The 14105-nt window shown below is 47.4% G+C and overlaps 1 long non-coding RNA gene across 1 annotated transcript in view, besides 1 other annotated feature; it reads right to left on the reverse strand.

Annotated features, from left to right (window-relative positions):
• The window catches only part of LINC02016 (long intergenic non-protein coding RNA 2016), a 68364-nt gene that overhangs the window by 14316 nt on the left and 39943 nt on the right, over positions 1-14105 (reverse strand). The gene's annotated exons all lie outside the window — the stretch shown is intronic.
• Positions 954-1613: an enhancer, noted in NCBI's record as "H3K27ac-H3K4me1 hESC enhancer chr3:127056419-127057078 (GRCh37/hg19 assembly coordinates)". NCBI's record gives its function as "activates a minimal SCP1, AML or CMV promoter by ChIP-STARR-seq in primed H9 embryonic stem cells {active_cell/tissue: H9 hESC(primed)}" and the evidence as "EXISTENCE:reporter gene assay evidence [ECO:0000049][PMID:30033119]".

Consider the following 14105-nt stretch of genomic DNA (forward strand, 5'->3'; position numbering starts at 1 on the left):
CCCAGAGCCTTCCCCCTTTCTTTGTCTTTCTCAGCACGTTTCCTTCAGGCTGACGTTCCTCATGATCCCAAGATGGTTGCCAAAATTCCAGGCATTACAGAGGCAACCTCAGGTCTCCATGGCTGGAATCAGGTCACCTGCTTCTTCCTAAGCCCAATGACTAGAGAAATGAAATTACTATCATTGGCTTAGGCTAGTTAAGACCTACCCCTCCCCAGGGTTCCATGGAGGACAGTGGACACCCAGACAGGACTGGGGCTGTAGTGATACAGAAAATAATAGCAGTAACAGGCAGTGGTGGATATGGGTGAGTAACCAACAAGGTTCGCTCTACCCTGGTTAGATCAGCTGTCGCAGTACCTTTATCTAAGCACCCAAAAGAGTCCTGCTGAACCTGGGCATGAGGAAAGGCAGGCACAGCGGGGGGTAGTCGGGACAGATACTCTGTTTAGGAGTGTGACAGGCAGTTCTCCATAATTATCAAGATTCAGACTGAGGGGTGTGCTGGGAAAGAGCTGGCCAGTGCGCTGGGACCACAGCAAGCACCCTGGGGCTCAGAGAAGATGGACAAGTTCCCCCGAGTTGGGCCTGGGCTTACCCAACCCCAGCCCCTGGCAGGTGGATATCCTGTCAGTCAACTTTCTTATGGGTGCAGCTCAGCAATTCCAGAAACCACAGTCGTGTCTTGACCCTCCAGTAGAGGTGTGTCCACACCTAGGGATATGGTGGTAAAGGAAGGGGGCTGAGTTGAGAAGCCTTGACAAGAGGCCTCGGCGGGCCGTTGGTACCTCAGGTGTGGTCCCAGATGCCCACTTCCCTCCTGCCTGTGTGAGGTGTCAGCATGCTGGCCCACCATCACCCACACCCTCTTGATCCCACACAGCTGCCAAACACCTCAGCTACCCACTTCCCTCCCTTCCCTTATTTCAGACTTTCTCAAATTATGCTTTCTCAAATATTCATTATGTCTTAATTTATACTTAAATTTTCTTTGGTTTTTTGCATTTCTTTAATTTACATTTAGTGTATACCTAACAGGACACTTTATACCTCTTCACAAATGGAAGAGAGTCTCATTTTCCATAATGCGACTACAAGAAAGCACAATGAAGTCACAATAAAGTTGTTAAGCCCTAATTTGATACCGCAGCCTGGCAGGACTCTAAGCCCCAGGCCTACTTTCTCTTTGTTAGAGCAGAGAGATTAGCAAGTATTATAAAGGTGTTAAACATGCTAGCACCAAATCCAGACGTTCCCCTGGAAGTCATTAGGAGACGGGAAGGATAATTTGTAAGGAAGCAACTTCCGCCGCGGAGTCTGATGGTGGTGGGCTGGGCTCGGGCCCTTCAGTGCACCTGCTGAGCCTCCTCCCGTGGCGGGTGTCAAGGAGGGCATGTGTCCGCCAGGCGGGCGGCAGCTGCGGGGAGGCGCGTGGGGAAGGGGAGGTGACCGCCGGAGAGGAGCAGCCTGCAGCCCGCTGGAGGGGCCCCGGAGCCGCACCTGGGACGCCTGTCCCCGACCTCTCAGTGCCCGCGGATACGACGCTCTTGGGTGGAGTTGCGAGGCTGCGGCACAGCTGGCGCGCATGGCTCTCACCTGAGACTCCGGCGGGGCACGGGAGGCACGGACACGCACGTTCCAGAGGAGGCACAGAGGCGGAGCTCCGATTTGGGAGCGACTCCCCGGTCTGGGGCAGGCAGAGGTGTCCAGCTCGGTCCTGGGCGGCAGACGCTCCATGGGCCCGAGTCGCGCCCCGCCCTGAGGTCGAGGGCGGGAGGTGGGACCGCAGGTGAGGGGCCAGGGAAGGCAGGGGACGCCATGAGCGGGCGCGGAGCAGCCAGTGCCTTCCCTCGGCCTCAGGACTGTGCCCCACAGCAGCCACAGAGCAGGCAGGCAAGGAGAGGGCAGGGCCTCAGGCTTGGAGCACCCGCTCCCCGGGCAGGGCGCATGAGAGGCCCAGGCACAAAGGAGGCTACGCGTTCTCCATCCTCTGTCCACAGGCTGCCAGGCATGCGGGGGACCCTCTTCCCAGCTATCTTCTTCTGTGAACCAGTGTACATCTCCCTCTGATGTTATTTTTCACAAATAGTAGACAAACACAAGCTACACACACATACACACATATGCAGATACACACACTACACACATGTATGCACGCATATGCGCACACACACATAGGCACACATACACATACTACCCACACATGCCCACACACTACATGCACATAGGCGTGCACACACACGTATGCACACATACGCACATTACACAAACACTTATGCACACATACACATGCAACACACATATATACACACATACACTACACATGTATATACACATGCACACACTACACACATAGGCACACATGCACATGCTACAAACATACTTACACTACACATGTATACAGCATATATATACTACACACATATGCACGCATGCACACACATGCTACACACACAGACACATACACATGCTACATACCCATCTATACACACACATACACTACACTTATACACACTATACATAGACACACACCACACACTATACACACATGCACACATGCACACACTACATGCACATGCACACAGGCACACATACACATGCTACACACACATAGACAGACATACACGTGCTACACACATCTATACACACAGATGCACTACACACATACACACTACACATACATAGACACACACTACACACACTATACACACATACAGTCATATGCACACGTACACTACACATACATAGGCAGACATACACTACACACTACACACACAGGCAAACATACACACACTACACCCATATGCACACATATATACACACTACACACATGCACACACATGCTACACATATACATATATATGCACACATACACATATGCACACATACACAAATACACACATAGGCACACATACACACACATCCTCAGTCTCAATGTAAAGTTCTTATTTCTATGGGTCACAAAGAGGTAGAAAAACATTGCTCTAAGCAATGCTCACATGTTCACATGTGAAATGCTAAAAAGAGCATGGATTTTGGAGTCAAACAGACTTGAATTCTAGGCTGGCCCTGACACCTACCAGCTCTAGCATCTAAAAGGGCAGGGGATCTCTCCTCTCTCACCTCATCTGTGATATGGGGTAGAAATCCACCCTCCCTCAACTCCAGTTAATGTAAAGTGACAATGAAATGGCAGATCAGCCAAAGTGATTTCTAAACAGTTAAGTCCTGTGCAAACGCATATTAAGATTGTTAATATTAGGCCCCAGCCAAGAACCCGTCTTAAGCCATGGTCCAGAAAATCAAATCTTGTTCTTCAATTGCATCTACTTAGCCAGCTGTTCAGTTCCCATATGCTCCTTTCTCTTCCAAAGCCTTAGCCGCCAATTGGAATGCAAGATAAAAAACACCATCTGTGCCCCCAGTCCTTCAGTTCCCTGCCCAGGACGTCTCGAGGCCGGGAGATGATTTCCCAGTTTCTTCTGGCACTGCCGTTCCCCCCTGGCTGGCTGCACTGGAGCAGGGCTGAGAGCCCGGGCAGCCTCTCCACCTCGATGTGGACGGCTCTCCACTGCCCACCAGAGGCCCCCATGACTCCCAGACCCAGCCCCGGTGTGGCTGGCCACAGGGCTGCTGCATATTGACCCTTCGGCTCTGGGGCTCTTTTGCAGTGTCCACCACATCAGTCCAACCCCAGCCTGGATCGACATGTGCCTCTCACACCGGAGACTACATTGAGGGAGCAACCCACAGGAGGGAGAGCAGCAATGGCCTCTGCTGGAGGTCTTCCCAGGAGCCTCTAGTCACAGGGTGCAAGATGTGATAGATTGACGCAAACATGGTCCCAATTCTGCATCCCTCCCTGTGTCTGTGCCCTTGCAATATGGCTGCATACTTCTTCCCATCGAGATGTGAGGTCCATTCTCCTGCCCCTTCAGTCTGGGCTGGCCTGTGACTTGCCTTATCAGTAGAACGGGGTGGAAGTGAAAGTGACACTGTGCAGTTCATCTGCAATGTAAACAAGCTCGGGTGAACCTGCTGGGGAACCCAGAAGAAAGCTTGTAGGCCATCCTAGACCAGCCTCCACCCAGCAAACCCTCAAACGAGTGACAGACTCCAGCCTATATCAACAGAGCTGCCTTGCCGACCCTCACTGGCCCCGGATGCATGAGCGAGCCCACCTAAGATTATCAGAATTGCCCAGCCAAACTGTAGACTTATAAGAAATAATGTTTATGTTTTCAAGCCACTAGGTTATAGGGTAATTGTTACACAGCAACAGCTAAGTGATACATAAGAGCATGCCCCCTTCCGTTAGGGGCACCAGGTGGGAAGGTATGGACTCTGTTAGGTTATTCTAATGATATCCTCCCACCCCAATCGGCCTTTGTTCAGAGCCTAAGAACCCTGGGGGTGAGGTGAGAATCTGGCCCCCTATCCTGAAGCCATGTGGCAGGAAATGAAGGGGAAAGTGTACATAGCATCACAGCAAGTAGGTTGACACTAATCACTAGACATCCCTGTCCCTGCTCAAAATTCCCCAGCCCCTCTCACCCAACCCAGCTTCTCCTATCCTAGGTCCCCTACCACTCACTGTTCCCCAGTCTGCTAGAGAAGTCTCAGCAAGCTTCTTGCTGAATTATGTTGAGCGATTTCTCTCTCCCTCTCCAAGCCAACCAGGTCAAGCTCTGGGTGTGCTTTTGCACAGAGTCTTGCCTTGGTGTCCCGCTAGCCGAGTGGTTCCCAAAGGATGGTGCAGTTACCACTGGGGATGCATGCAATGATTGTAGGTGGTACAAGGTCAAACATTTTAAATGCTAATTGTTCCACTTCGATTGCAACATTATTCCAGCATAGTCATCCCTTGGTACGTGTGGCGATTGGCCCCTGAGGAGACCAAAATCCGTGGATGCTCAAGTCCCTGATATGAAATAGTGTTGTATTTATATACATACATACATCCTCTTCACATACCTACATACATCCTCTCTTATACTTTAAATCATCTCTGGATTACTTATAATGCCTAATATAAGGTAATGTGATTTAAATAGTCATCATGCTGTATTGTTTTATTTGTATTACTTTTTATTGTTATATGTTATTTTTATTGGATTTTTTTTAAAAAAATCTTTGATCTGCAGTTGGTTGAATCCATGATGCAGAACCCTTGGACATGGTGTGCCAACTGCATGCTTATCCCTTACCCTTCAAGCTGCCATAACAAAATACCATAGACTGGGGAGCTTATAAACAACAGAAATTTATCTCACACCTGGCAAGTTCAAGGTCAAGGTGCTGGCAGATTCAGTGTCTGCTGAGGGCCCACTATCTGATTCTTAGGTGGTGCCTTCTTACCGTGTCCCTGCACCATGGGAAGGGGGAAACCGGATGTCTCTGGAGCCTCTTGTTTATGGGCACTAATCCAACCACGAGGGCTCCACCCTCACGACCTTGTCATCTCCCAAAGGCACCACCTCCTAACATTATCACATGGGGGATTCCATTTCAGCAGGTATTTTGAGGGGACACCAACATTCAGTCTATAGAAACTTATTATCAGGTATATTTAACTAAAATATAGCTAGCCCTAGCAATCTTTGATGTAGTGTTCCCATTTAAAATAAATGTGTTTAAATGCAACTGGATGCTCAATTGGGAATTTCAATGGAAATGTCCAAATCCAATAGATGCCACACCTCAAGGTGTTGAGAGGCCGGATGCAGAATTCACAAAGAAGATGGCTTGCAACAAGAGTAAGAGTCGAGTGGAGAGAGACCGTTTCTGAAGAAGGATGTTGAGCAGAGAGTGGCTTGTGTGCTGGGAGGGCTGAGGGGAGTGGATGAAGGGGAGTGTGCCCCTCACCTCTTACTCAGTGGGAGGGGCTCTGGGGAGGACCTTCAGCAGGATGTGGGGTGTACCTCTGAGTTTGGGGGACACAAGGGCTGGCAGGTGATACATAGCTGAGGACTAGGGCAGCAGGTGGTTGTGGCTCTTGAGCTTCAGGGCTGAGAGAAAAAAGACCCATATTGGGAGAAAGGGCGGATCCAGGTTCTGTGGAGCCTGCAGCGTACACAATCTGGGATCCCCTTGCTATGGACGTGAATATCAAATTACCATGGAAGCACCTGGTGGGGCCCTCAGGATCTGGGAAGGGGCCCGGGCAAGTCATAGCTCTGAAGCCGAAGCTGCACCGGCTGCATGGCACATGACCTCTGCGTGGACAGCAGCTACACCAGAAACCAGGACAATGTGAAGGGGGAAGAGTAGGTTGTGCGCTTGATGTGGCCACATGGGAGAGAGAAACAGCCAGGACTGTTCTTCATCCTGCCCAACGGGGGCGGTAGGACTCCAACAGAGAAGGTCCATGCTGAGAGAAGGGCAAACCAGAGGAACGGGGCTGCCAGGATCCCAGAAAAGCCTGCGCCAGAAGGAGCCCAGATAACTGGGAGATAGCCTCTGAGCAGAGCACTAGTCACAGGTGAACACTCCTGTTGCCTTAGGTCTCCTCTGCTCCAGAGTGGGGCAAGAAGAGAGAAATGTACCTAAAGAAGGACTATCTCACCTCCCGCCATAAACCACCAACCCTCGGTGGCACTCAGGAGGGGAGAGGACACATTTTTCAATGACTTGGACTTGGACACTCTCAATTACTGAAACGTGACTTAAAGTGACCACAGGACTCTTTTTAATCACCTAAGGCCAATCAGAGAAGGCTCAGCACAGGCCCTAGCTTTCACAATCACTCCCTTTGAATCATGTTTGCTCAATGTTCCAAAGAGTCAATTTTTTTATATACGGAGTTTTCCATTTTTAATATTTGGTTAAACAAAATAGATCATTTATAAACAAACAGCACAAGGTCACCAACAAAAAGGAATAAAAGCAAGAAAATCAAAAAGCCTAGGATTGCCTGTTATTGGGCATCAGGGTCAGGCCTGCTCATCTTCCTTAAAGGAAGTGAGGCTTTTTGCCCTTGGGCATCAGCATGGGTCCCTGTTTCTAAGCAGCAGAGTTGAATATGAACAGAGAAACCAGCCCTGAAATGGTTAAGCATCTTTCCATATCCCATTGGCTCATGGACTCCAAGTGCATGGGGACTCCCAAAGAGTCAGTTTTTAAAAATGTATTGTTTCACTTTGCTAGCACGGCCACAACAAAGCACCAAGACTGGGTGCCATAAACGACAGACACTCATTGTCTCAGCTCTGGAGGCTGAAAGTTTGAGATGAAGGTGTCAGAGCGGCTGCTTCCTTCTGAGGCTACTCTCCTTGGCTTGTGTGTGGCCACTTTCTCACTATTTTCTCATGTCCTTTCCTCTTGGTGGTCTGTGTGTCTGATATTCTTATATGGATACCAGTCACATAGAATTAAGACCCACCCTGACAGCCTCATTGTAACTCAATTACCTTTTTAAGACCCTATCTCCAAATATAACCACATTCTGAGGTACTAGGGGTTAAGATTTCAACATACGAATTGTGGGAATACACAAGCCAGCCCATAACATATATAAAATAAATAAAAGCTATTTAGACTCCAGGATAGGGAGCTAGACTAAAAACTTCAATACTGTAACCACACCCAAGGAATTTAACATTTAAACACTAACATTATCTACTATCTAGCACATAGTAAAATTGCCCAATTGCCCCCAAATTTCCTTCATATATTGTTTTATGACCCAAGATCTAATTAAGGATTTTGCACTGCATTAGACCGATTTTTTTAGTGTCCTTTAATCTAGAACACTTCTCCTGATTTTCTGTTGTCTTTCATGACATCAAGGTTTTGAAGAGTCCAGATTTTATGGACAGCACCTAGATTTGGCCAACTGTATGCTCATCATTACACCCAGGTTAGACACTTGGGCAGGAGATTTCCATAGGTGGCAGGGGTTCTTCCTACCGTCTTGCCTCAGGAGTTGCATGACATATGTCCGCCCCACTGCTGGGGATGCTAAGTGTTATCCCTTGGTGAAGGTGGTGTCCCTCGGATTCCATCATAAAAAGATGCCTTTTCCATGTTTTTAAATTAACAACTAGTTTTCAGGGTGATGCTTTAAGACCCTGTGACTCTCCAGTTCCCCAACAGACTTTGACCTGAAGGTTGTTGCATTCACGGATGACCTTCACCTGAGTCAGTTACTATAGGTGGGTGGTTGCAAAATGAACTATGTCATGTATACATAATCAATACTACAAAAGCATCCTTGGAAAGCGTTACTAAGTAAGATAAACAAATAAGGATGTGGAAGGGTGGAACCAAAGGCAAGGCCTATAACTAAAGATAATACAAGCAGGCGCAGTAACTCATGCCTGTAATCCCAGCACTCTGGAAGGCCAAAGCAGGAGGATCGCTTGAGACCAGGAGTTCAAGACCAGCCTGGGCAACATAACGAGACCCTGTCCCCAGACAATCTTGATATTACGATAGTCTCATATTAAACCTAATGTGGCTGGGCACGGAGGCTCATGCCTGTAACCCCAACACTTTGGGAGGCTGAGGTGGGCGGATCACCTGAGGTTAGGAGTTCGAGACCAGCCTGGCCAACATGGCAAAACCCCATAAATACAAAAATTAACCGGGCATGGTGGCAGGCGTGCACCTGTAATCCCAGCTACTCGGGAGGCTGAGGCAGGAGAATTGCTTGAACCCAGGAGGCAGTGAGTTGAGATCATGCCATTGCATTCCAGCCTGGACGACAGAGTGAGACTCTGTCAAAACAAAACAAAACAAAACAAAACAAACAAACAAAAAAACCTAATGTGTTTTTTGAAGTCAGTAACTGCTCCATGTTATGGCTGGTCTATCCCAGCAATGGACTTTTCATTCCTTTAATGACTCATTCTGTGAAGATAAGTGCAGAGAATCTATTAAGATGTTAAAACTGGCAGCCTGGGCAACATAGCAAGACCTCATCTCTACAAAAATTAGCCAGGTATGGTGGCTCATGCCTGTAGTCCCAGCTACTCAGGAGGCTTGAGCCCAGGAGTTCAAGACTGCAGTGAGCTGTGATGGTGCCACTGCACTCCAGCCTGGGCAATAGAGCAAGACCCTGTGTCTTAAAAAAAGTCTTTAAGATAATCTATAGATCTGCTACAGCAAATATTTAGGGCATAAATATGTCTTAAAACTTTCTAGAAGCTAATGTGAAAGAGAAATTTATCAGTTACACAATCCGGCTACTGGGACTGTGAGATTGGCTGCCAACAATGAATGTGAGGTGGGTGTCACTATGAAAGAATAGGCCTCCTCCTCTTACCCATGGGGGGACTCAGAACTCAATGCTGAGTTCTGCTTAAATGTAACTGACCAAAAATGGATATTAACCTCTGCTCCATCCTGACTTCCCACTAACACGGCAATAAGATGTTAAAAGGAGGGGGAATGCCTACACTTATAAGGACAAAGAGAACAGAAGAGGAGAAAATAGCAACAAATGTTAGAGTCAGGAAAGGAGATGGATGAGGGATAAATGAATTCGCTGATTTTAGAAAGCTGACTCCCGAGCCAGCTGTGGGAAGCCTAATAAACCGCAGCTCCAAAAGTCCTGAGAACGGAAGCACAAGGTGCCTCTGCAGCAGAGGTGAAGGCAGTAATAGAAACAGAGAGTGGACTGAAAGTATTTTCATAAGCAGGCAGATGCCCAGAGCCTCTCCATCAGACTGGACAACCTCATTCTGGCAGAATGCTAACTTCTAGAAACCAGAATAGGGGTCTCTGAATTGGGCACAGTTAAAGTCAGAAGAACCAGGGGAAATGAATGAACTTGACACACTCAGTGCTGAACACACCAGCCCTGTTCCCCACCAGCATCCAGAACACTGGTACCCAGGCTTCTCTTTCCAGGCCTCAGATACTCAGGGGAATTCAACCTGATCAGGAAGAAAGATCTGAGGAACTCCCAATGAAACAGCCCAAGCAGATCATCCTACAATGAAGTCCTACAATGACAAGCCACAATTTCCCATGACACACACACACACATATGCACACACATGCACATGCACACACATGCACATGCACAAAACTTTCCACCAGTGTTTTAGTGCCATGCTTTTAAATATGAGCAATCAAAAGGATTGTCAGACATCTGAGGAAGCCTCTGATATGAGAGACAGAGGTCAGAACAAACACAAATGGAAAACAAGAAAAGCAACTTAAAGGAAACAAAGGTTACTTGGGAGGAAGAAAACTTCAAAATCATTATCATTAATACAAGCAGAGCGCTAAGAAATGATATTCTGACCAGGAAATAAGAATAGAGTATTATTAAACAAAAGGAACATAGAAAGAGCTCTTGGAAACTTAAAATGTGATAGTAGAAATGGAAAATGTAAGAGAAGAGTTTGGATGATACAGTCGAGGAAAGCCGTAAGATGGAGCAGAGAGACAGGAAAAGGAGAACAAGGATCAGAAAGTTAGAAGGCCAGTTCAGGAAGCCCAACATTTGGGTAATAGGAGTTCCAAAAAAGAGAGAACAGAGAAAAAGTAGAAGAAATTACCAAGGGGAAAAAGTTCATGAAAGTGTCCCAGAACAGTTCTGGAGATTCTAGGTCAGAAGGGCCAGAAAAATGGAGAGGTGTGGACCTACATCAAGATACATGTATGAAACTTCAGGGCACTGAGGATAAACAGACAGCCCAAAAGACTTCCAGAGAGAGAGAATAAAATACAACAAAACAAATTTTACAACTGTGCAAAGTCAAAGATGGCACTGGCACTAGCTTTGCAATAGCAGCCTGGAAGCTGGAAGACAACAAAGCAACATCTTCAACGTTCCCAGGAAACTCATTTCTAACTAGAATTCTATATCTAGCCAAGTAAGAGTGAGAGGAGAATAAAAATACATTCAAATACTCAATGCCTCAAAAAATGAGGAATGACTAAGGAAGACAGAGATGTGGAACTCAGGAAATGGGTGCTTTAGCCTGAGAAATGGGAAGGGTGTTCAGGATGGGGTGAAGGAAGTGCTGTCCATGAGGAGCAAAGGGCAGGGTTCCCATAGACACTAGAAGGTTCTGGGAAAAGCCCCTTAGAAGAAAGCATAGGTAGGCCAGGCACAGTGGCTCACGCTTGTAATCCTAGTACTTTGGGAGGCCAAGGTGGGCAGACGACTTCAGGCCAGGAATTCGAGACCAGCCTGACCAACATGGCGAGACCCCGTATCTGAAAAAAAAAAAAAAAAAAAATTAGCCGGGCATGGTGGTATGCACCTGTAATCCTAGCTACTCAGGAGGCTGAGACATGAGAATCCCTTGAGCACAGCAGTAGGAGGTTGCAGTGAGCCAAGATCTCACCATTGCACTCCAGCCTGGGCAACAGAGGGAGACTTATCTCAAAAAAAAAAAAAAAAAAAGAGGAAGAAGAAGAAGAAGGAGGAGGAGAAGGAGAAGGAGAAGAAGGAGGAGGAGGAGGAGGCATAAGTAGAGTCACTGATGCTTTGAAGATACTAGAGCAGACTGGTTCAATTAGAGGCTGTTTGAACATGAATTCATAACAAAAGAATAGAAAATTAATAGAACAGATTATTAACAGGGTAAGTTATAGAAAATTAAGCAAACAGTAACTCCAGGAAATATATAAGTTGTCCAATAAAGGAAAATAACTGTAGACTGCTGTATGGTTTTGCACCAAAAAACTGTATAAACTCTAAATATGGATCTAAACCAAATTGCAAATTTACCATACCACAAGAACTGTGATAGGATGCACGTCTACATCACGGGGGGAGGGGACAAGTTTTGCAAGAGCGCTAAACCCTCATTTCCTGAGTAAGAAGTCAACACACATTGCTTGAAATGAAATATAAAATCAACAAATAACAATATAAGCTTGTTCTGTAGAGGTGAGGAGATAAATCCAAAAGGGATCTGCTAAAAAAATTGAAAGCGGTTTCCTTCAGGACCTGGGAAATGAGGAAAGATGAAAGGAAGAATACTATTTTTCATGGCAAGCCTTGCCAAAATCATCTGTGACTCTTTATGTACACTTATAACTTTGATTTACACAATTAGATGTAAATTTTAAAAAATTAGTCAATGTCCGCCCAAATTGTTGTTCGTGTGTGAGACCAACAGAAAGATCATCTCAGATATCCATGAGTTCATACATTACAACCTTCTGGAAAAATCGGTAGAAAAAATATTCCACCTAATTAAGATTCAGGAATGGGAAAGTTAAGTTAGAAAAGAAAGAGATTCTCAGTACTGACAATTATTTTCTGAACTAGAAGATGCATAATAATAAAATTAATGAACAAATTAAAAATGAAAATTGCATCTAAAATCCTAGCTATTACCTAGAAAACGCAGTGGAGAGGGGGAGATGGTTTTTACAGAGAGAGAAATCAATAGTTATCACTTTATTTTTGATATTCATTTTTACGACATAGGTCCACTTAAAAATAAAATAAAGGTAAACAAGCAAAATTAAATATAAGTCTACTTCCCAGTCACTAGTGGGAAAATCAAAGACAGTGAAATTAAAAGAGCAAAAAGATAGCAAGGAAATGAAGTGAGAAAGCAGAAAAGAACACCAGAAATGAGACCAAATAGTTATGGCATTTAAGTAAATAGGCTAAACTTTCTTGTTAAAAAACATAGGAGTTTTTTAAAAAATCCGAAACCACTGCTATTTTTAAGCAAAAACTCCTAAAACAAAATGACAAGTAACATTTCAGAATGAATGGATGATAGTGCAGTTTAGTTAGACCAAAGAGACATCATGGAATAAAAAATAAAAGTCAAGTCGTCAAGGAGAGAGTGGATGAAATGTCAGCGCAGGAGCGAAGCCTGCTCTGAGCAGGGAGCAGGAGCCAAGAGCCTTGAGCTCCTGTTATATTTTTTGCTGGTGAGGGACGAAACTATCTGTGAGGCGGGGACCATCACTGTGCCCAGTTTAGAGATGAAGAAATAGAGGCACAGAGACATGCTAAGTCTGGCACCAGGCAGTGGCAGGACTGGAAAAGGAGACTGGGTCTGGCCAACCCCGAAGCTGTGCTTCTTCCCGTCCTGCCAGGAGTGTGGTGCTCATTGTAGAGGAAGTTCCTAATAAAAGCAGCCTCATTTGTCAGGGGTCAAGGGTTCCCTGCTTGGCCCTCTCGCAAATGGCATCCCTCTGGAGAAGTGGGTAACCCTAGACATCAGGGTTCCCCTGCGGGCCATGTGTGCAGAGTCCAAGTGTGTCCTAGCCACCCCTCGGCACAGGTCTTGGCAGCGGCCTCCCTCCTGGACACAGGGCTCCCCTCCCCCGACAGCGGGTGTCCTCTCTCCTGGCCCACACCTCTGGGCCCCGCTCAGCCTCCTCACGCCCTGGCCAGGGTTGTCAGCCTTTCTACAGGTGCAGCCCCCGCATCCCCCGAGGCTGCTGCGCAGGCGGGGGCAGGTCCCCTGGAAGGTGGCCTCAGACGCCCTACAGGTCAGGAGGATGTCCTCTGCTCCTATTGCCTGCCCCGCCCAGGCGGAGAGGTGCTGGGGCCTCCCACCTCTGAGCCGCAGAAAGACCCACAGGGGAGCCCCCAGGGAAGGCTGTGGAGAAGCCCAGCCACCTCGCCTGTTCCTTTGGAGAAAGCAGGGGGCTCTAAGGAGAGGCAGCGCCAGGCCTGGGTGCAGGGTGAGGAGTCCTGACCCTTGCTCTCTGTCTCTCCCCGGGGCTTTCCTGTCCAATACCAGGGGCTTGTGCTGGCCGCGCATCTGTGCAGATGTGTACGTGCGGGGCTGCAGTGGCTCGGTGCCCTCGCTGAGCCCTGGTCGTCTTGTCCCTGGAAGTACCTCCTGTTAGGATTCCCACGACAATGCCCACGTGGCACTTTTTCCGCCTGGGTTTTCGGCACAAAAGAGAAGGAGTTCACAGGGTCCTGCAGGCCCCAGCCTCTGCGGGCTCATCTGCCCGGGGCGTGATCAACGGTGAGCTCCCCATAGGGAAGCTCTGCAAACCCACACTCCCAGAGCTCCTCCAGCAAACACTGGATGCCTGCTCAGAAGAGCAGGGAACACAGGGGCCACCAGATCAGAACCCCATTCCCCTTCTGGCTGCTGCTCCCCTCTATGAAAGCCCAGTCTGGTCCCCCTCACCCCTCTGGCCTCACCACCTAGGTCTCA

Source organism: Homo sapiens, chromosome 3, assembly GCF_000001405.40.
Source record: "Homo sapiens chromosome 3, GRCh38.p14 Primary Assembly".
Classification (NCBI taxonomy): Eukaryota; Metazoa; Chordata; class Mammalia; order Primates; family Hominidae; genus Homo; species Homo sapiens.